Source organism: Homo sapiens, chromosome 6 (genome assembly GCF_000001405.40).
Source record: "Homo sapiens chromosome 6, GRCh38.p14 Primary Assembly".
Lineage (NCBI taxonomy): Eukaryota > Metazoa > Chordata > Mammalia > Primates > Hominidae > Homo > Homo sapiens.
This window is the reverse complement of record NC_000006.12, coordinates 167449222-167473491: the sequence shown is the minus strand read 5'-3', so window position 1 is coordinate 167473491 and position 24270 is coordinate 167449222. Positions and strand designations below refer to the sequence as shown.

At 44.0% G+C, this 24270-nt stretch overlaps 1 long non-coding RNA gene across 1 annotated transcript; it reads left to right on the top strand.

The window, feature by feature from the left end:
* The first annotated feature begins 701 nt into the window (after window positions 1-701).
* LOC105378127 (uncharacterized) lies at window positions 702-14234 on the top strand. Its single transcript, NR_134591.1, has 4 exons — window positions 702-758; window positions 9901-10048; window positions 10820-10983; window positions 13973-14234. It is a non-coding gene; the product is annotated as an uncharacterized LOC105378127 (long non-coding RNA).
* The last annotated feature ends 10036 nt before the right edge of the window (window positions 14235-24270 follow it).

Genomic DNA, 24270 nt, shown 5'->3' with positions numbered 1-24270 from the left:
TGCTGGGCTCTCTTCTGCTGTGGAAATTTCCAGTAATGGGGAAAAGGGGAGAAAGAATACAAAAATAGCAAAGAAAGGAATGCAGTCCACATAACAAAGAGCCAGTGGGTGAAGCAAGAGAAAGAAGACCATTTTATTGATGATAAATCCAAATTCCTTGCAGGCCCAGGGTCCCTACCTGCCACAAAGCCACCTGCCACACCTCCCCCTTGGATTTGCAAGGAATTTGGACTTATTTTCAATGCACCGGGAGCCACTTCATTCTGACTGATTGTGTGAGGGACTCACTTAACACAGTCTGGTTCAGTCAGATTCTGCAGTGCTTTGGGTAACTGTCCCTGCCAAATCTCATGCTGAACTGTCATCTCTCCAACATTGGAGGGGGGCCTGGTGGGAGGTGTTTGGGTCATGGGGGCAAATTCCTCATAGTTTGGTGCTGTCCTCCTAGTAGTTAATGAGTTGTCAGGAAACCTGATAGTTTAAAGTGTATGACATCTCCCCCACTGATATGGTTTGCCTATTTCCTCACCCAAATCTCATCTTGAATTCCCACCAGTTGTGAGAGAGACCCAGGGGGAGGTAATTGAATCACTGGGCAGGTCTTTTCTGTGCTGTTCTCATGATAGTGAGTAAGTCTCATGAGACCTGATGGGTTTATAAAGGGGAGTTTGCCTGCATAAGCTCTCTTGTCTGCCACCAGGTAAGATGTGCCTTTCACTTTCCGCCATGATTGTGAGGCCTCCCAGCCATGTGGAACCGTAAGTTCATTAAACCTCTTTCTTGTGTAAATTGTGCAGTCTTGGGTATGTCTTTATCAGCTGTGTGAAAATGGACCAATACACCCACCCTTGCTCCTGCTCTTATGCTACCCCTGCTCCTGCTTCACCTTCCGCCATGAACAAAAGCTCCCCCAGGCTTCCCCAGAAGCTGAGAAGGTACCAGCACTGTGCTTCCCTCACAGCCTGTGGAGCTGTGGGCCACTAAACCTCTTTTCTATATAAATTACCCAGTCTCAGGTACTGGTCTGCAGCCTGTTAGGGACCAGGCTGCACAGCAGGAGGTGAGCAGCTGGTGAGCCAGTGAAGCTTCATCTGCATGTACAGTCACTCCCCATCACTGGCATCACTGCCTGAGCTCAGTCTCCTGTTTGATCGGCAGCAGCATTAGATTCTCATAGCAGCACAAACCCTACTGTGAACAGTGCCTGCGAGGGATGTAGGTTGCGCGCTCCTTATGAGACTCTAATACCTGATGATCTGTCACTGTCCCCATCACCCCCAGACAGGACCCTCTAGTTGCCAGGAAACAAGCTCAGGCCTCCCACTGATTTGACATTATGGTGAGTTGTATAATTATTTCATTATATATTACAGTGTCATAATAGAAATAAAGTACACAACAAATGTAATGCGTTTGAATCAAACTGAAACCACCTTCCGACTCCCACTGTTCATGGAAAAATTTTCTTCCGTGAAACTGGTCCCTAGCGCCAAAAAGATTGGGGACTACTGTTCTAGGGAATTTGAATTGGGATGGAGAGGCTGTGGCTGGGGTGCGGTGGCCAAGCGGGCTCCAAGTGTGTTTTAAGGAATTTGATGGGGATGGAGAGGTCATGGCTGGGGTGCGGTGGCCAAGTGGGCTCCTAACATCCTCTAGCACGTCTAGGTTGTAGGAATCCCAGAGCACTGTGGGCAGAGCCGGGGAGGAAGGCCCCACAGTGAGTAACAGAAACAGGGGCGCTATGACCGGGGAGGGGCTGGAGTGATGAGGGATGTGGATGTCGGATGGCTTTCCTGTTCCTGCTTCCACCTCTGCATGAAGCCCTCATGCTCCTTGACCTTGCCATCTGGGAGACATGGCTCCTTGCCCTGCACCGTCCTTGTGCCTCGGTAAACTGAACACGCTGACCTTAATAACAACTTCAGCCAAGATGTTCAAGTCTGGAGGACGGGACTGCTTGACACCACGATGAAAAATGGTGAGTCAAACTCTCAGCTGACCCAAGGATGCCGCTGGTCTGTCGGAGGTCATAGGATGGAGACTAGGGATGAGAAAGTCGTCTATGAGCAAGAATACACAGCCTCGCAGTGTCAGGAATCACACAGAACTAGGCGAACGCTCCAGGCCCATACAGGTTCAGGGACCACCATGCAGGAGGAGGGTGCCCCTGAGTTGGTGCAATGTGTGGTTCACCCTGGCTGGTGATGGCTCTGAGAAAGCCACTGCAGTGTGAACGGAAGCCAAGCACTTGTGCTGGAGAGCTCTAGATAGGAGCGTGCTGGCTGCCCCAGGAGGACAGGAGCAGGGAAATGGGACCACACAGGGTGGGGTGAGCACTCTCTCCCCGAGGGCCAGTGACCAGCTTTGGAGGCTGAGAATTTCACTCACCCTGCACTTGGCGGGCACAGGGCAGGCCCAGCTGAAGGGCAGGCCTCAGGCTTTCATAATCCCCCAGCCCACGGTTTTCCCATGGCCTCTCTCCCAAGGGCCCTCAGTCCTGCCTGGCTCTGATGTGCGTCCACAGCAGACCTGACTATTCAGGACCAGGACCAGGGCCAACCAAGCCAACACCCTGCAGCTCCAGGCTTCTGCACCCGCAAGGGCAGCCACAGTGGCCTGAAGTCTGCTCAGGCTTCTGTTTGGTTCTGGTCATCACTGGGGCCAGCCCACAGCTGTGAGCTGGCTGAGGTTTGCTGTGTCCCTGCAGAGGGAAAGGCGTTGCTCCCGTTGTCCCCTGGGAGGATGCTGTGCCTCATAGAGTCCCTGCCCTGGGTGATGCAGCATCCAGAGATTGCAGGGCTCAGGCCTTTCTGTGGGAAGCAGCTCAACCCCCTAAGTCAGAGGCTGCAGACAGCGCCATGGTGGAAGGCCTTGCCACCTTTGCCCACAGCAGCCCTGGAGGCCGAGATGGGCCATGATAGGAGGTCCTGACACCTTCACCCACAGCAGCCCTGGCTGGGCACCCTGCTCAGGGATGTTAAATAGACTCTTTTTCAATCTTGGAAGCCCAGGAAAGCTCAGAGTCTAGGGATGTCTGTGTCCAACCAGCCAGGTGGTGTCTTGCTCAGAAAAGTGGGACATTGCTAAAAACAGTACCCAGACGAAAATAAGGAGGGTGACATAAGGCCACGCTGCCGATTTAGGAGCAGGGCATCCACGGCACAGGGAGCTCTGCAGCTTTACCCTGGGGCTTTAGGACAACTTGCCACCTTCCAGGAGGAGGGATGACATCGCCCCCCTCCCATCTCTACTTCACACCATCTGCCCCACAAGCCTCGCCTCAGTCCTCCGCACGCCCTGCTCTGACTCAGGATCCTACAGCAGACACTGGCCATGTCTGGCAAATCCATGGGACATGAAGATTCTGTCCACGATTAACTGTGCACCTACCAGCAAACACCAACGATGGAGAGAATATCTGGTCATTCCCCATGGAATTGACTGTTTCATGGTGTCTTTACTTTGTGCTCCAGGGAAAAAGCAATTTCTTTACCTCCCGCGTCAACAGTGTCAGATCTGATTATTTGTTTGAGGACTGAGCCTGAATGCCTGCCCTTGGCTGCACAAGCTGTTGCAGATCCAGAGCAGAGCCTGTGCTGCAGCCCCTGCACAGCCCTGTAGAGCCTTCTCCCCACGTGCCGCCTCCGCACAGGGAGGAGCTGGCGCACATCCCACCTGCAAGGGCCTAGGAGAGCGCAGCTCGCAAGCTGAGAGGAGATGAGTGCTGTTGGCACTGAAGTCTAGGAAGGCGTTCCTGATGCCCCCAAAGCATTCCTTTCAGTTTCCCCTCGACTTTGACTGCCTGGTATCTTATTTTATGTAATACATACATTCTCAAAAGTTAAAAATAAATCTAGTTTTGATATAATAAAAAGGAGTATTATTTTAATGAATCAACAGGTGACCTCATGTCCAATCTTCAGGGTTTACCATTTCAAAATCTCATTGACAGTTTTTGTAAATTTATTGTCGACATTTACCAATTAGACACTTCCAATGCTACCCAAACTGCTTCCATGGAGTTCCAAATGCTCTCTTGTGCTTGGTAATTGATTGTTACTGGGAATTCTGATCACTGTCACCTCCCATTTCCTATCTAGGATCTGGAGAGAAGTGTCTCCACTTTGTGTTCACATGTTCCTGAGGGGCCCACATCCTTTCCTGGCCTGCCTCACCCCAGACTTCCTGGGCAAGCCCCCAGCTTCCTGCTGCACTGATGGGCTTCGGCCGGGCTGGTTTTCCCCATTCCGTGGAGTGGGGGAGGAGTGAGAGAGTCAGAGTCTCCCATGAGCAGACTCTCATTGGAAACTGATTGTGGTTAAATAATAGGAAACCTGTGGTAAGCAAGTAGAATCAATCTTCACACTGATCCTATCTTTGAAGTCAATCATACGCGTCTTTCAAATCAAGATAACTTTGATTCTAGAAAGATTTTTACTTTTATGTGATTTGATAACAGTATTTAGTTTTAAATTTAAAATAACATGAAAGGAAGGTGGGTGATTTTATGGTTATTACCATGGAGGCGAAGATTGAAAAAGGCCGTGGGCGGTGCTCTGATCAACTGCCTTTGAGAGAGGGGACATTCAAAGGGAAATATAAGTTGGAATGGTTTCTGAGTTTGCCATTGGGCCCCATTTTCCTCATCAACCCTGTACCCCCTGTGCTTAGGTGGCAGGCATTCAATAGAGTAGGAATGAATGAAGAATGAAGGAAAAAAGGCACCTCGGAGAACAGACCAGAAATCTCAGCAAGCTCCATACAGGGCCCAGGACACAGCAGAGCAGGTAGCTCTAGGAAGTCAGTGACAGGCTGGCTTTGGATTCTAAGACTTTATATATTTAATCCTATTTCAAGATGTTGAAGAGAAGGGGACATCATGGTCACACAGACTCGGTGACAGCTGAGAAATGTGTAGCAGTGTCTCGACATCATGGTCATACAGACTCAGTGAAGGCTGAGAAATGTGTCACTGTGTCTCGACGTCATGGTCACACGGACCCGGTGAAGGCTGAGAAACGCATAGCAGTGTCTCGACATCATGGTCACACGGACTACACGGACTCGGTTAAGGCTGAGAAATGTGTCCCAGCGTCTCGACGTCATGGTCACACGGACCCGGTGAAGGCTGAGAAATGTGTCACAGCATCTCGACATCATGGTCACATAGACTCGGTGAAGGCTGAGAAATGTGTCCCAGCGTCTCGACGTCACGGTCACACGGACCCGGTGAAGGCTGAAAAATGTGTCACAGTGTCTTGACGTCATGGTCACACAGACTCGGTGAAGGCTAAGAAATGTGTCCCAGCGTCTCGATGTCACGGTCACACGGACCCGGTGAAGGCTGAGAAATGTGTCCCAGCGTCTCGACGTCATGGTCACACGGACCCGGTGAAGGCTGAGAAATGTGTCGCAGCGTCTCAATGACATGGTCACACGGAGTCAGTGAAGGCTGAGAAATGTGTCGCAGTGTCTCGACGTCACGATCTCATGGAGTTGGTGAAGGCTGAGAAACATGTGGCAGCATCTCGACATCATGATCACAGAGACTCGGTGAAGGCTGAGAAATGTGTCGCAGTGTCTCTACGTGGTGCAGGAATGACAGAGTTTCGGATCAGAGGGGTGTGGGATCCACCACATTGCAGTTTATAGTCGTGCTTGTCAAATGCTTATTTCTACTTTAGCTGTTTAAAACATGAAACAAAATGATTTTGAATTTTTTGTGTGTGGTATTTTTCCTAAATAGATTGAATCTTAGATTTAGATTGTGATTACTGAGTAATGTGGAGAAGGAATTATGGGTGTTGTCTAAAATCTTGTGAGTCTAAGGCAAAGTGAAATAGAAAAGTGAATTATTACACATCAAACAAATAACATTTATTGATGACTTGGTTTGTAAGCACAAATCTAGGAAGTATATGTGGGAGGTATTTTAAAACCCGAGGTGGGAATAAATCCTTAGAGGAAAATGAGCACACGTAGAATGAGGGAGCACGGGGAGCATCAGAGCTTCACTCTGTGCTCCCGATCCAAGCACACGGGGAGGCGTGAAGACTCCAGGTGTTGGAAGGGTTTCTCTAAGGGAAATTAATCGAACCCATAGGGGAAGGCAAAGGTACTGTTTCGATAATGACTAGACTAACAAAATATGGTTACAGGAAATATTTAACGCCCAAAAATAAAACCTAAACTGGTTTCTGAGGCTGTTCTATTGTGCTGTGGCGTTCAGACCAGACCTGGAACTACTTTCAGGAGAGACCGTCAGGGGTTGTAGCACTTATAAGGGTGACCCAGGTAGTGGAAGACTGGAGACTAAACATAACCCAAACTAGAGTTATTCTATGATTTAATAATAATAATAAAATTATTAACTAGAACAGCTAACATTTATTGAATATCTACAAAGGGCCAGGCATTTTGTCATGCATTAATTCATTTTGTCTTCAGAATAGGTTATAAATTTGTATTTACAGTGATTGATTAATTAATTTTGGCTTGATAACATATACACATGGTAGAAAATTCAAAAGCTACAAAAGATGTAAAATGAAAAGTGAGCCTGCCGATGCCCTAATGTGAAGGCCCCCATCCCTTCTGGGAAAGTAACTATCAATAATGCTTTACTGCGTTTCCTTCCAGATGTATTTTATATACACTATATATTTATATAAACTATATATTTATATAAATAGGCTCGGCAGATTATTTTTTACTTTATGCTTATCGATAAATCTTTCATTTCCACATAACGGTACTTAATACACTACATCATTCATTTTAATAGTTGCATAGAATTCCATTCTTACAAATGGGCTGTAGTTTATTTAATCATCCCCCTTTCGAGGGACCCTTGGATTGTTGCCAGTCCTCTGCTGTTAACAAGCAACACCTCAGGGAATGATACCATGGTTTCACATGCCTGTGGCTGTCTGTCAGACTCAGCTTCCCAAAACGAGTCCCGCACCTCTCCTGCAAGTAGCTTTCTTTTGCAGCTTCATTCCCAAGTCAGGCAGATTTCCTCCAGGGACATCAACCAAAACCACACCTCACTAGGGCCGAGTGCAGAAGTGGAGCTGGGAATCTGGTTGTCTTCTCCCAGGCCAATTTGTAAAAATGTGAAACAATGCCCTGTTTTCACTAATATTTTTGGAAAATATAACCACTTTTAATGAAAATGTGTTTTATATTGTTATGCAATGGGATTATTATTATTTTATGATATAATACATCTCTTTTAAGTTCATCACTTATAATTTTTAATGTAAATGTCAGTCTATGTAACCCATGTAAACAAAAGTCTTTGGGGCCTCAGTAAGATTTGGAGTATAAAGTGGTGCCAAAACCAAAAAGCTTGAGAATTGCTTCTGTGATTTATAATTTTAGAAGTAGAATTGGTAGGTACAAGTTACGTGCTTTTGTATTTTGGTAGATATTGTCAAATTCCCCTTCCTGTAAACTCTATCAATTTATATTCCCACCAACAATGTATACGGACGCCTGTTTCCTCTAGGCCTGGTCAGCAGCTGTTGTTAAGCTTTTTTGATCGTTGCCTAATTGAGAGTTGAAAATACACCTTTACTGAGTTTAATTTTGTATTTTTCTTATTTTGTATCAGCTTGAGTATGCCTCTGTATGGTTGAGAGCCGATGACATTTTCTTTTTATTAAACAATCTGTTGATGTTCTTTGTGTATTTTCCACCAGGCGATGTGTGTTTCAATGGTCTTTAGGTGCTCAGTGTGAGCCTTCTGCTGTGTGTGCTGGGCACTGTCCTCTCTTACTGGGTCCATGTCTGGACGTCCTGTTCTATTCCAATTGTTTGTGACAACTGGGCAGGAAAGAATTGTCCAGCCATTTGAGTGATTGATTGAACTGGCTGCGTTGCTGAGACATAAACACGTTCTCAGAGGAGTATTTAACAAAGGATTGGGTATTGAAGCAAAGTTCTAGTTCTGTAAAGAAGGTGGAACTTGAGGCACTCTAAAGTTCTTTGAAATACCCTAATATTATCTCAAAGTGTGCCCCTGCATTGCAAAGCAGGCCACATGGAAGAGGGCCTGGATGCTGCTATTGAATTAGAAATTATCCTCCTGCGTAGAAAGTGTTTGGTGCGTACTTTTTTTTTTTTAGAATATTTTATTTTATTTTATTTTTCAGTAACTATTTATTTATTTATTTATTTATTTATTTATTATTATACTTTGGTGCATACTTTTAAGAAAGAGCTTCAAGTGACCTATTGAGCAAGGGGCCAGACTGCAAATGGCTATGAGGTCTTTTTCTGAAAAATCAAAAGTAGAATGTTGCATCTGGAATAAACCTGAGAGTCTTATGTTACACAGAAGAAAACTGCATCCAGAAAGATGAAGGAGCTTGCAAGAGGCCACACAGCATAAGACTGGAGCCAGAGTCTGGATCTCATTCTCACTACCATTCCATGCCCAAAAGGCATATTGATTAATGACTTTAAAAATATTCTGAAACATTCACGCAGCATGGCTTGCTTCTGCTCTGTCGTTTAAATGGTTATTATTTCTTATTTCATTCAGAAATTGCTTTAAGTGTTACTGCCTCTCACTAAAGACAACTGTATAGCTGCCTTTCACAAAGATTAGATGATGCCTGCATTTCCTAACAGAGGTCTGGCCTTTGCTGATACTTTCACAGAAGACAACAGCTAGCAAATAGTTGACCAATGATCACCATTGATCATTCCAGGTTATTCATCAAACACTAGTTGTACTTTTTTTCCCCTTCTTCTTCACATTTTAACATCTTTAGTATAAGGATGTGTCTGGTAATTGATTGTAATTGTGGTTGATCTGAAATCATGATCGACTTTTGCCCGCATGTGTGAGAATGTTTGTAAGAGTGAAATTCAGAACAAGCTCAATGCACAGCCCAGCGACTTGTCATCTAGACTTGTCGCCTAGTGCCACAGCTGGACATCCCAATCTTTGGCTTTCAACTACCCAGTAACTCAGACCATTTGAGGTTGAGGTGATTTTGATTGCTTTCTGGAACCCTCTATTACACCTTCTGTTAAGCTTACAAAGGATCAGCATCCAAATATACAGAATGGGTGTTGGCAGCTTGAAAAAGTCCAGGGGCAACAGTGGAGCCAACTGGCTCTTGGCTGCTCAGAGGCTGATACCGCGTGGGAAGGCGTGAGTGAGGCTGAGTGAGCCGGGACATGACTTAGGAGCAGCGGATGCTGCATTCAAAAAAGTTTTAAAAACATCTTAGCTCTTCATACTGCTTATGTGTTCCTTTTCATTTTTATGCACAAGAGATATAGGATACGAAAACATGACTAAATAAAAGAACCCATTTATTTATTTATTTATTTATGTTTGAGACAGAGTCTTGCTCTACTGTCCAGACTGGAGTGCAGTGGCAAAATCCTGGTTCACTGCAGCCTCAACCTCCTGAGCTCCAGTGATCCTCCCCACTCAGCCTCCCAAGTAGTTGGTACTACAGGCATGCACCACCATGCCTATCTAATTATTTTATTTTATTTTTCGTTTTCTGTAGACATGGGGTTTCACCATATTGCCCAGGCTGATCTCAAACTCCTAGGCTCAAGTCGTCCTCCTGCCTCAGCCTCCTAAAGGGATTATAGGCATGAACCATGGCACCCAGCCAAGAACTCTATTAATACATTTACAATTCTCAGTGATAAGAATTCACTGTGCAATGGTTTAGTTGGCAACACTTTTTTTTCCTTGTGGCACAAAAAGCAGTGGTGAGTTATATAACTGGTGAAGGTTTAGATCTGACAGAGTATGGCCCATTGTGAATAAGCCCATATTTGCTCACAACTATTCCATGTTTGCTGGTTACTCACTTGTTAGCTTGGTACCTTGTTTATTTATGTACATTTTTTTTTTTTTGCAAACAGTGAGCACCTGTTTATGCACTGCAGTCGTGAGTGAGATAGAATCATGTGAGGAGTGGACAGTCTGCCTTACAGCCCATGCTCAGTACATATCCTAATGAGGAATTGGTCCCTGGCTGTCGTTGTCTCCACGCCCTTGAGTTGGACAATGGTATTTACCTGCAAGTCTTTCTGCTTTGTAGAATGGCTGGTACATGGGACATATTGTGATACTTAATGTCATGAGTTGAACTGTGTTCCCCAAAAGACATGTTGATGTCCTAAACCCAGGTATCTGTGCATGTCATCTCACTTGGGAATAAGTTCTTTGCAGATGTAGTTAGATTCAGATGAAGTCACTAGGGAGGGCCCTAATCCCCTATGACTGGTGTTTTTATCTGAAGAGGAAAACACTGCATGAGGCCAGGCCACCCACAAGGGGACACTGTATAATGACAGCATAAGGGTCTGGCGCGATCCCACAGGGGGACACGGTATGATGACAGGGTCAGTGACTGGTGCGATCAGCTGCAAACTCAGAACCACCAAGCAGTGATGGCCACCACCAGAAGCTGGGAGGGGCAGAAAGGATTCTCTGCCTCTCAGAGGGCGCACGGCTCTGCTAAAACCTGGGTTCCAGCTTCTGGCCTCCAGACAGTGAGAGAAGAAATCTCTCCTGGTTTAAGCCTCCCTGCTGTCCTTTGTTACAGCCACCCTCGGAAGCAAATAGGCTTAGCTTTACAACGAGACTTGGGTAGCAAAATTGAGACCCTTCTCAGTAAAGTAATCAAAATACACTGAATTTTCTGGTGACACTTGGAGCCTTTTTTGGTGGTGGGTGGAGCCAGGAAGTATGAGCTGAAGTTTACTCATATTGGTGGGTGGAGACATCGAGGGCCTTTCCTTCCTGCGCATTGCATTTATTCAGAAAATGTTTCTCCAGCTCCGTCCCAAGGATGTGACAGATTCTTTCATTTATGACTATGCCACGCTCAGCCCATCTAACCTCAAATCTAACCTAATCCTGGTGGCCCTCCCACCTTCCCAGCACACAGGAGCAAGCAGAGAACATGGGCAGTCAAGTCAAAAGGAAAGGATGGCCTACAGGTACCCTGGTTTTCTTTCTTCTGCTGGAGCCACATGTAAATATTTATATATAAATACCCAGGAGGCAGTCAGTATTTCTAAAAGGGTTTATAATGTAAATGTGAAAAATCACTTTCTGACCCAGTGGGAACTCTGCTCTTCCTCACTTCGAATCACTCACTCATTCATCCATTCCCTCATTTCACAAACACTTAGGATGCACTGTGCAGCAAGCATTGTATTTATTTTTGCTTACAATGTCAAAATTAATAAATGATATTTTAGTTGAAATGTTTAAAAATAACAAGAGTTTCTTGATCAGAAGAGAAAAGCTCTCTTGTGCCAACAAGTTCAGAATATTTGGTGAGTGGACGTTGGCTGGGCTGGGCTAGGTCAAGTTAATCTACTCTTCATCAATCAGCTCTGCATGGACCCCTTTAAGTGACTGGCAAAGAGAAAAGCTGGAGCTCAGGAGGAGGCGCTGGGAGGCAGAAGTTTGGTGAAGGGTGATTGACATCTAGGGGGACAGGAGAGCATCCTCCCTCTTTGTTGGATGTAGAGAGGGCTAGTTTCTTCCTCTGGTTGGGGTTGCCAGGTAAGATACAGGACACTCAGTCATATGTGAATTCCAGGCAATGAGATATTGTTTTAATATAAGCACATACCAAATATTGCATAGAATATATTTATACTGAACATGTATTTGTTGTTTTTCTGAAATTCAAATTTAACTGAGTGTCCTCTACTTTTATTCTGCTGACTCTGGCAACTCTACCTCTGGTTTCATCTTTATTTTACGAGTGGGAAATTCAGTCATGGATGAACTCTAGAGAGGCAGACACAAATCAGGGGGTTGAGTTTTCATTTGAGATGATTTGCTGTAGAGTTTAGGGTTGTATTCAACGTCTGTGAGCCTTGATTTTTCAATAAGCAAACAATGAAAGAAAAAACACCTGTCTCTAGTGAACTTCCAGCTCCACCATGAAGATGAATAGAAGCAAACTCTGCAGTTGTCCTCTGAGTTCTTGAGGAAGCCGCATTTCCTAACCCAGCATTTGTTCCAGTCGGTTGCAGAAGGCTGTGCTCCTGGAGCCCTTAGTTGGTTCCAATAGCTGCTAATTGCCATGGAGTCGCCATTCTTCCTGGCAGGTGTCAGAGCCTCCGGAGAGAAGCCAACTCTATCCTGATCTTCCACCCTGAGGCCCAGGGCTCGGCCTTGGTTTCTGTCTTACTTTCCCGCTGGGTCTAGAACTGCCCTCTCTCCTTCACACCAACCTGTGTTTAACACATTTAAGGGAATTCTTGAACAAGTTTTGGGAAGATGCTGCGGGGTGTGTTAATGGCACTCTGAGCTTGTCCGGCTGTGCATTAGGAAATGTGCCTGGTCATTCCCTGGTCTCCAAATCCGGCGCCCTGTCTTTGCTCTAACGTTTTCATTTTTGAGCTCAGAGTGAGAATTGGATAAAAGTGACTATCTTGATGGATGGGCATTTGGGTTCCTTGTTATTACTGATTCCCTCAAAAAAAAGGGAGGACATATGATTTGTGCTATTTGGTGGTCTGATGTTTGTTGTTTCAGCTTCTTCCTTCTTTCTGTCTATTCTCTTCTCAATGCCTTACTTTAATCAGAAGTGGCAAGCATGGGTAGTTCCTGGTTCCCACAGCTCAGGGAATGCATTTCATTTTCTTTGGAGATGGATTTGTCTTTGAAAACAAGTGTGTCTCCCAAGCTTGCATCTTCATGATCATAGCCAAACTCAGCAGGGAAATCCCAAACAAATAACAATCCATGAGGGCCATGTGTCCTCCTCTTTAAAGAAAGAAGTGGGGTTAAGATTTAAAAATAAAACACCTGGGGCTTTTATGATTCTTTTTTCCTACCGGAGCTGAGCCACCATTTCCCTGATTGGCTATTTCTTGAGGACGTTCAAAGACTGTAATAGCACAGGGACACATTTTCCCCAATTGCTTTTAAATAGGAGATCGGGACCGCGTGCAGTCTGTAATCCCTGCACTTTGGGAGGCCAAGGAAGGTGGGTCACTTTAGGTCAGGAGTTTGAGACCAGCCTGGCCAACATGGCAAAATCCCATCTCTACTAAAAATAAAAATAAAAATAAAATTAGCTGGGTGCGGGGGTGGTGCATGCCTGTAATCCCAGCTACTTGGGGGGCTGAGGCATGAGAATCACTTGATCCTGAGAGGCAGTGGTTGCAGTGAGCTGAGATCGCACCACTGCACGCCAGCCTGGGTGACAGCATGAGACTCTGTCTCAAAAATAAATAAACAAATAAATAGGAGATCAGATTATGTGTGAACTTTGAATTGCAAAGTACCAGAAAGCCTTGGAGACTATCAGTGGCTACATCATTCAAATAGCTTCTCCTGGGACTGATATTGAATAAGTCAACTCTGAAGTAACAATCACCATTATTAGGACACTTTTTTAAATCGATTACCCTTTTATACAGGATGGATTTAAATGGACTCATTTTACCCCACCAATATAATTTTTTTCAGGAATGTAGGACCTCTGATTATAATAATTACTTGACTTCTATTTCCCCAGCCCCACGTATAGGACCAAAGTTTTTATTTAACCATTTTCACCATCAGCAGCAACCTTTATCTTATGTGTTCTAATAGTGGTTGATGTGTTGTTTTCATCATTCTGAACACATCAACCCGGAATGCAGTAAATCAGCACAGAATAGAAGACTCTTTCCCACACTATTTTCTCCCTGTTCTGCATGTACACATCCCCCAAATTTTTTTTGTAAATTGAATAATATTTTGAATGTCATAAGGTAACTCCCAATGGGAACCCATAAGGGATTCTTTTGAAAGGAAAGATATTGTTTTCTGTGAATTTAATGTTCAATCCCTCATTCACCTGCCACAGGCTCTTCAATGTCCACTGCTTGTATTTTTTTAAAAAATGGAAGCATAACTGTGTTGGGCTTTTTCTCCTTATCATCAAATGTTACCACTGAGCAACTAAAACTTTTACAGATGCTGTTCTGTGAGGACAGTGTCCAAACCAGAAAGTCAAGATGCCTCTTTGAGGATCCGTCTGAAAACAAACAAAATACGTGAAATCCAGGAGAGCTGGAGTAGAAAACGCCGTGAAGGTAGCGTGGAGAGCATCAGGGAGCAGCTGCTATTTCAACACAGTGGGGACTTCGCACCTGGGCCTGAGGGAGCCTCACTGTTTCACTGAATTTATGTTCATATATTTATGATAATAAATATGTTCATACACTTACGTTCAAAATATGTTTGTAATATGGTCATCTATTTATGTTCATATTTTGTGGTTTCTGGAACAGAATCTAATGTTCTTATTACCAAATAGTAGGCGAACTCAGTACTTTGGCAGAGACACTTCCGCAATATGTCTCTTAATTCCTGTTCTCAGCAAGGCTTCTCCTGCAGTAACTCCTTGTCCTTCATCTTGACTTCTTGGTCCCTGGTATCCATCTCCCTGAGGGAGGGAGGGGAGGCATGTGTTTGCTGAGTGATTCATTAGACTTCAGCTCACGAAGGATTGATAGTCTGTCTTGACATGAGAATGGGATCTGCACAGGTTTTAAGATGTTAGAAAAGTGACTTGCAGCCTCACAGTATTGCCTCTCGAAGGTCAGACCCATCATCCTTGTCTTTTAGATAAATAATCGAGGTACAACTGAGCCAAGCAACTTGCTCTATAAATCAGGTCGCTTCTAATCAATAGTCTAGTTCATGCAGAATCCAAACTATCAGAAAGAAAGAACAGTAATAGTTTCAAACTCCGGTGCAATGGCAGCTGGTGTCAATAGTGGCAACCCACAGGCATATGCTGAGTTGCTGAGCTGCTTGAGGGGAGGGCTGTGTCCTGTCCAGTTCTGCATCTTTAGAGTCCAGTTCTGGGCCTGGATATGCCCTCAGTGAGTATTTATTACATTGAATTTCATTTTTGAGATTATGATGTAGCTTCCAAGCCACAAAGTTCTATGAGATTGAATTATTTTTTCTTTAGTGTTAGACCTAGAATATTTAATGAATTTTTACTGCCTGACCATTAGAGATCTGTACAGCATATAGAATGACTTTTTTATTAACCATTATTCTTGTAGAAGTACAATTTACTGAGGATTCAAACCTGAGATTTTAAAAAAATTGTATCACATGAATTACCATGAAAATCAAAGTCATAAGAATTTCAGTAATTGTCTTTAATCCACAACTCTCTCTTTTCCCAAGTAATTTATTTCTACATTGAGGAAAACAAAATGACTTTGGCATTTTAACTCTGGATCATTAAATGCATCTCAAAAACACAGATTACTGAGCAGTTTGTTTCCATAGAGCCTTTTGATGCTTTAAATTTTGTCTTTTCTTCTTAACATTTACAACCTCAGATAATTCTGGATAGATCACTTTTATGATGATCACAGGCAGGTGTATTTGTTTTGGAAACACAACCAGTTTCCAAAGACTCAAGAATAGCCAATTTATTAATTTTTATTAGTAACTTGAACAGAAACAAACAGAACAAATATTACGAGAACCAAAGGCCACACATTTTTAAAGAGTCAACTTTCATGCAGCCATAAACTGATCCATAAAACTTCTCCAAGTTCTTTAATTTGGGACTTTATACATCATACGCAGAGAAAATTCACTTAAAAAGGACTGGTTATATATGGACCAGATTCTCCCTCAAAATCATCCCAAATCTATGAAGGTGGGAATCTGGAGAAAGCCATCAGCTGAGTTCAGACGAGACATTGGCCAGTGGCAGCCTGTCCACCGCCACAACCCCAGAGCTCCTGCTGGGCGGGGGTGTCCTGCCAGGAATTCCTCTAGAAAGTCACCGGTTCCTCCTCTTTGCTATGGCTTTAGAAAAATAAGAGACAATTTGAAGAATTATAGTCATTCTTAGGAAATGTTTAAGAAAAAATTCAAAATAAATTACCTTTAAAAAAGTTCGCAGCGAATGGAGAAACTAGTCTGATAATCATTATAACAACTAACATTTAACAGAGCTTCCTTTCAACAGGCACTGTCCCTTTTCAATGGGATGGGGGGATCCCGAGGGTTTGAGCTGTTAGAAAAAGGTTCGGGAAGGAGGCAGAGCCGAGCATTGAAGTGTGAGAGTGGAGAGAGCAGGGTGTGCTCTAAATTGCGAGGTGGGGTGGGCTTAGCAAGAGGGAGCGTGAGCAAAGGCTTGAAACAAGGACGGTCAATTGAACTGAGAGCTCGGGTTCCTGGAAGAAGTCTCGGGAGAGAGCGCTGGAAGTGGGAATTCTCCCCACAGTGACCATCGGTTCAAAACAAGCTCAATGAAAATTCCAATAGAAACAGTAGACACACATCTGGAAAGGGAACTTGATTACCAGATATAAACATTTACTATGAAGTGAGTGTAATTAAGGCAGTTGTTGATGGTGTAAAAATATACACATTGGCTGATGTAATAGAATAGATGGCCCAAAAACAACCACACACAGTTGTGAAGCTTGAACTTTTGACAGAAGAGTCACAGGACATCACGGGGAAAAGGGGGAGCTATTCAACAAATGTAGCCAGGAAAAAGTGACTATTCATTTGGAAAATACAGTGAACATGGATCCCAACTTTATACCACATACAAGGCAATTCTGAAAGGCCTTAGGACTTATGTGTCAAAAGCAAACACTTTCAAGCCTTTAGTAGAAAATATATAGGTGTTTCTATCCTTGGGGTAAGGAAAACAATTCTTAAAGAAGACTCAAAATGTGGCAACCACAAAAAAAGAGCAAAACACTTGATTCTATGAAAATTACAAATCCCACTCATCATAAGACAGCACAAAGAAATTGAAAACAGAAGCTATTACCTGGAAGACAATATTCTCAATGCATTTAACCTGAAAGAATTCCTGTCAAAAATGCATCAAGAACTCCTAAAATCAATCAGTAAATGATAAACAATACAACTTAAAAACTCTCGGCAAATGTCTGTGAGGCATTTCAGAGAAGAGGAAGCACAAACATCCAGTCAGGAAATTAAAAGGTTGTTAACCTTATTAGTAATCAGAGAAATGCAAATCAGAATTTCCAATTCAGTAGGTCTGGGGTGGGACTCAAGAATTAGCATTTCTAATAAGTTCCATATTCTTAGATCCTACTGTATGGAGGCTAAATGGTGATAACTACAGCTTAGAGAATAGCTTTTAAGAATACAAAGCTACCAAATCTAAACAATATATTGTTCAGGCTCACACACACATACACACCCTTGCTAACACTGTACACTAAAAACATCAAGAGAACCATAATGCCTGATTCAGGCTGGAGGCTACCCGTCTGAGTGGAGAAATAAAGCCAGAAGGGCATATAGACTTTAGTGGCCAGTGCTGAAATTCTTGGGTTGAGTGGTATGAATCTTGGTTTTCATTATATTACTAAAAACAAATTAGTAAATAAATGAAATAAAATACAAGACAGCAGGAGAGTCAAGTATGGAGCAAAGATGAGCATGTATCATGAATCAAGAATAATGATTCATTTTATTCTGTAAACTTGAATTCCATTAAAAGCATAAAACAAGATAGAATCTATTGAGGCCAGAATTGAACTTGAATGGCAAGGAAAGAAGTTTTACAGCTCCTCAGAAGGCCATGGGAAACCACACTGATGTTTAAAGAGTCCCATGAACAGTGCCCAATAAAAGCTGAAAGGAAAATCGATGGAAGGCATTTGTGTCCTAGCCCAATCCACTGGCTTTCCACAGGCAGAGAGAGCAGTTAGAGGCCATGGTCACTGGGGTGGGTGGCTTTCTTCTTTCCTCGGTGGGACACAAAAGTCAGGGTTGGATTCAACGTGAGGGGATTGTGGGGAGGCAGCCCAGGCATGAATCTCAGCTCCATCCTTTGGTGTTCTGTGCCAATTTCATCACCTGTAAAAATAGAAAGAACAGCGCCTGTTTTCCTCCATCTGCCAGGTCACTGTGGGCATAAACTGAGACAGTGGATTGAGGTGGCTTTGCAAGCTGCAAAGCTAAGTAAACACCAACGCTCTTTATAAGAAGGAAGCAAAGGCCAAACAATTGCTTTAGCTATGCTGCCTTTTTATTCAGGTCTTCTCTGATCACTGTAGAGAAAGTGGGATGCTCCCATTCCTGCCTGCCCTCTCTCTATTAATTTACCTAATTTCATCATTCTTCATAGTACTTCTTAACACCTGAAGCTGTTGTATATTGATTTGTTAGCTTACTCATTGTATGTCTGTTCCAGTAAAATATTAGCTTCAAGAGCACAAGAACTTAGTCTATCTTGCTCACTCCCTCATCTATGGGCACAGAACTGTACTTGGCATGTTGAAAGTTCTCTCTGGGCCAGGCGTGGTGGCTCACCACTGTAATACCAGCACTTTGGGAGGCTGAGGCAGGTGGATCACGAGGTCAGGAGATGGAGACCATCCTGGCCAACATGGTGAAACCCCGTCTCTACTAAAAATACAAAAATTAGCTGGGCATGGTGGTGTGTGCCTGTAATCCCAGCTACATGGGAGGCTGAGGCAGGAGAATTGCTTGAACCCAGGAGGCAGAGGTCACAGTGAGCTGAGATCACATCACTGCACTCCAGTCTGGTGATAGAGTGAGATTCTATCTCAAAGAGAAAAAAAAAGAAAAAAGAAAAGAAAAGAAAAAAGAAAAAAAGAAAGTTCTCTCTGAGTATGGGTTGAATGAGTGAGTGAAGAAATAAGTGGATGAGGGAATAAATGAATGAGTGAGTGACTGACTGAATTAGTGGGTAAATGACTGGATGAGTTAGTAAATGAGTGAGTGGATGAGTGAATAAATGAGTGGGTAAATGAGTAGATGAATAAATACATGAGTGGGTCAGTGAATGAATAAATGAGTAAATGAGTGGATGAGTGAATAAGTGAATGAGTGATTGAGTGAGTGAACAACTGGATGAGTAAATAAATGAACGAGTGATTAAATGAGTGAATGAGTGAACAAATGAGTGAGTAAATGAATCAGTGAATAAATGAGTGGATGAATGAATAAGTAAATGAATGATTGAGCGAGTGAACAAGTGGGTAGATGAGTGGATGAGAAATAAGTGAATGAGTGGATAAATGAATAAATAAATGAGTGTGTTAATGAATGGATGAATGGGTAAATCAGTGGATAAGTGAATAAATGAATTAGCAAGTGAATGAATGAATGAGTAAATGAGTGGATGAGGGAATAAATGAGTGAGTGAATGAGTGGATGAGTGAATAAGTGAATGAGTGATTGAACAAATGTATGAGTAAATGAGTGGATATGTGAATAAATGAGTGAGTGAGTGAATTAATAAATGGGTAAATGAGTGATGTGTGAATGAATAAGTAAATGAGTGGATGAGTGAATAAGTGAATGAATGAGTGAATGGGTGGATAAGTGAATAAATGAGTGAGTGAGTGAATTGAGTGGGTAAATGAATAAAAAATGAGTAAATTAGTGGATGAATGAATAACAAATGAATGATTGAGTGAGAGAATGAGTGGACAAATGAATAAATGAATGTGTGGATGAATGGATGAGTGAGTGAATGAATGAGTGAGTGGGTCAGTGAATGAACGAATGAGTAAATGCAACTGCAGCCAGGCAGGGAGGAGCACGCAATAGTTCCAGGAAGGAGGAGCTGGCATGAACTAGAAGATTCCACAGAGGGAGGCAGCCACACACCTGCCGCCCAATAAGGCTGGGGCCAAAGTAAAGAACCCCCAGGCTGTGCCAAGGAGGGAGGATGCCCAATCTCCCCTGAAAGCCACAGAAGTGGCAAGTGGATGAGTGAATAAGTGAAGGAGTCACTGACACAGTGAATGAGTGGATAAGTTAATAGATCAATGAGTGACTGAGTCAAGCAGATGAGTAAATAAGTGAAGGAGTGAGTGAGTGAACGAGTGAATGAGTGAATAGATGAATGAGTGACTGAGTGAGTGAACAAGTGAATGAGTAAATAAGTGAATGAGTGACTGAGTGAACAAGTGGATGAGTGAATAGATGAATGAGTGAGTGAACGAGTGGATGAGTGAATGGATGAATGAGTGACTGAGTGAGTGAATAAGTGAATGAATTACTGAGTGAAGGAGTGGATGAATGACTAGATGAATGAGTGAGTGAGTGAACGAGTGGATGAGTAAATAGATGAATGAGTGACTGAATGAGTGAACGAGTGAATGAGTAAATAAGTGAATGAGTGAGTGAGTGAATGAATGGGTGAGTGAATAGATGAATGAGTGAGTGAGTGAAGGAGTGAGTGAATAGATGAGCAAATAGATGAATGAGTGACTGAGTGAGTGAATGAGTGACTGAGTGAGTGAATGAGTAAATAAGCGAATGAGTGAGTGAGTGAATGAGTGGATGAATAGACGAATGAGTGAGTGAGGGATGAGTGAATAGATGAATGAGTGAGTGAGTGAATGAGTGAATGAGTAAATAAGTGAATGAATGATTGAGTGGATGAGTGAATAGATGAATGAGTGAGTGACCAGATGGGAGGAGAACACATGTCTGAGGAGCAAGGTTTGGCCCAGCAGTGCCCTCATCCTCTGGGGGTTTCAAGGACGGGCTTTCTCCCTGTTCCTCCTGCAGCCCTCCTACAGGTCCCAAGAGTACAGGGCTCCCTTTCAAGCCCTGGTCCAAGAGTGAACAAAAATGCCTCTTTGTCCCATTTTAAGGCAGGTAACATCACCAAAACTTTCAAAAAGATGTACTGAAAATCAGGATAGATTCAGGGGCCCAGATACCAGAAAATATTTCAGGATCTGGGTTTTCAAACTCCAGGTTCTCTGGTGCTGGTGAACAGCCAGTCCCTTTCACATACCCCATTGAGGGAGCCTTACTCTAGCCCCAAAGGCTGGCGCAATCTCACAAGCGTCTTGCCAGGGGCCCTCATCATCTTGTTCCATATGGTGCTTATAGTCTCAATGCTTGTCACCAAAGAGCCGCCCTAAAGAGCATGATGCATTTGCTGATAAGACTACAGAAGAGAGAGTTCTCCTGCATGATGTCTGAGACGTCGTCCTTGATCCGGTTTCTGCTTGGACAGCTCACCCCCGTTCTCTAGTGCTAGACACTGGAATGAGCATCTCTCTCCTCCAAGGGCACTGCTGTTATAAACATAGTTCATTTCATTATGGAGACAATTTTCCAGCTTTTGCTCTAATTTTTTGACCCATGTCAGGCCTAATCAGGCTCCTGAGCAGAGCCTAACTGGGCTCCTGAGCAGAGCCACGTAGCAAAGCAGAAGCCCTCAGGAGAGGAGCTCTGATATGTCAACATTTAATCACTCTCACCCCGCAAGTCCTTTTAAGGCATTAGGTCTCAGATTTGCCCCTTGGGGAGCTCTGAAATGTGCCCATGCCTGGACCCCACTCCTAAGGGTTCTGATTTACCTGGTCTGCATGTGGCTTGGGCATCACATTTTTAAAACTCCCTCAAAGATTCTAACAGCCTCCAAGATTGGGACCCACAGCTGTAGAGCTAGGAATGACTTCCAGCTTTTCATGAAGAAACAGGATGGCATGCAGTAGTGCTGGGAGAAGAAAGAGAGGCAAATCCATTCTGTTACACTTTGAATTGTGTCCCCCCAAATCCATATGTTGAAGCCCTAACCCTCAGTAGCTCAGAGTGGGACCTTATTTGGAGATGGTTTCTTTCCAAAAGTAGTCAAGTTAAAGTGAGATCACTGGGGCAGGTCTGATATGGCTACGTCTTCATAAGACAGAGCCATATGACACAGATTGGGACAGAGAAGATACAGAGGGAAGATGATGTAAAGAGACAGGGAGAAGTTGGTGTCTACAAGCCAAGCAGAGAGACCTCAGAAAAAACCGACACAGTAGGTGCCTTGAGTTGGGCCTCCAGAGCTGTGACATGCACACGTCTGTTGTTTAAGCCCCCAGGCATTGTGTTTTTACAGCAGCCCCAGTGGCTTAGGCACACCTACACCACTGTGGGATCCTGGTACCTAGAACATGGCAGCGCTCTAGAGTTCATCAGTGAATTCGGAGATCAGGACTCTGATCTTCCCTCACCCTGTGAGGTCGGTGGGCTGTAGCTATCTTCATTCTCGGATGTTCAGAGAGCCTGTGCCTGAGGTAATGTGGGTAGCTGGTGTGAGGTTTGGGATCCAAGCCCAGGTCTTCCCTCTCCAAGTCCCAGCTCTTTTCACTCCACTGACCTAGGAGTCTTTCTTGAGACCTGGAGGAAGGTGCTGATACACGTGATACACCAGGGAGAGGCAAGAAACAGAGGGGGAGAAGAGCAAGGCTGGGCTTCTGCAGATAAAAGTCACCCACTCTATGGCTCTCTCTGCTCAGGACCCTGATGGGAACCTATGGGCTCCCACCATTGTTTGGGGCCATGTTCTAAGAAGCAGAGCCTGGAAACTTTGGGTCCCAATTAAAACTCAGTTACTGGTGGTCCTCAGCCCATCTGCCCCATAGCTCATCCCAGCAGCCCTTGCACAAACTGAGCCAACTTCCAGGGGACATTCAAAGCACCCTGGTTCCTGAGGGGTGCCATGGGGTGAACACAGCCTGTGCCATGGAACGTCATTCCACACTGGGAAATCTCTCCCTTTTCCTTAAGTAGAAGTCCAGAGTTTTCAACTACAATTCCCATCTCCCCAAGGAAGTGCTTGCTCACCTGGACACCTGCTTTCAGTTTCCTTCTTTGCTGGCCCTCCACTTTCGGCAAAGCTGCTTCTTCAGAGGGCATGGGGCAGGGTCAATGCTGAGCAGCTGGAGCACAACCTGGAGCATAGCTGCTTCCCGTGCATTGTCACGCTAACTGGCAATGTGTTACAAAGACACCTGTGCAGCTGACAGGGATTTGTTCAGCGTCTTTCACGCCTGTTTTGAAAATATATTTAATGAAAGGTTTTCATTTCATCCCAGATCCATTTATTGTAGCTCAGATTTTGAATGAAAGTGTGGACATAAATGATCCCCATCTTTCAATGAGTTGCAAATCCCTTGTTTTGGAAGATGGTTGAATTGGCTCCAACTACCTTTCTTAGGGACTTAAAGAGCTTAGCCACATTTGTTCACGGACTTCTTCCCTCAACTACTACTCTCCAAACTCTTACCCTCTGCCCAAGGCTCTATTCCCCCTCCTTTTTGGGCTTTAAAACATGAACCATGACTCTCTTCTGAGATTGTCTACTACCTTTAAGGACAATTATTTTCACAACAGGAAAAAAAGATGTAATGAGGTTATTCAATTTAGGAATATTTCATGGGTAAGCAGAATGTTAATGGAGGAAGGCAGCACAAGGTGACCTTCATTCCTTTACACCCGATTAACCGCCCCCTCCCTTGCCCTACCCATGATGTTTGAACTTCAGGCTTCCTCTGCAGGCTTTGGCCTGGTAATTGAGCTTGCAGTTGCCAGATGGAGAAATACACAGTGAGATCTTTGGGGATATTTATCTGCGGTTCCAGTTACAAGTTTGATGGAAAGGCAGAGCCATGTAGGCCCAGAGTGGTGCCTCTGCCCTAAGTCAGACCTTTTGGTTTTATCTGCTCAATATCCATTCCTTCTTACTTCCTCTCCTTCCATTTTGCTACGAGGAGCCAATCTTCCCCACTGAATGGGCACCAAGATGGTGCAGTAAGAATTTTGATTGTCACCAAGATTCAGCAGGTGCCACATTCCAAACTGAGATGAGAGACCACGATGACTTTATTTCTTACAAAGGGTTACAGCCTGCAAGGTGGCCATGCTGAAGGCTGGGAAGCGGCCATTGTTTTAATCTTGCTTATCTTGAGGGCAGTGCCTGTTTTACTGCTAAAAAAAAAAATAATATCCTTGTGGCAGTTAGAACACAGAGTAATTTGTAAGAGTAGGGTGTGTGACTTAACCCTTGCCTGGTATGAACTTAGGTCCTGTTTATAATTTGTTATCTTAGTGCCACAAAGGGTCTGCTCCATCGGTCCTATGGTCTCTATTTTAACATTAGTGCTGGGCCATTGCTGTGTCTAATATCCAAAAGGGAGGGGTATGAAGATGCACGTCTGACCTCCTGTCCCATCATGGCCAGGAACTCAGTTTCTAAGGTTTCTCTGGGGTCCTCCTGGCCAAGAGGGAATCTGTTCAGTCAGTTGGGGGGCTTAGGATTTTATTTTTAGTTTACATGCTTATACCACAGGGCAGTCAGAACTCACAAGGCATGAATACTTGTCAAACAGGTCAGTATGCGAGACTACTGTGTGAACTATGAATCATTCCACAAATGCAACTCATTATGTGTGCATTTATACACAGTGCGTTGATAACTGTCCATG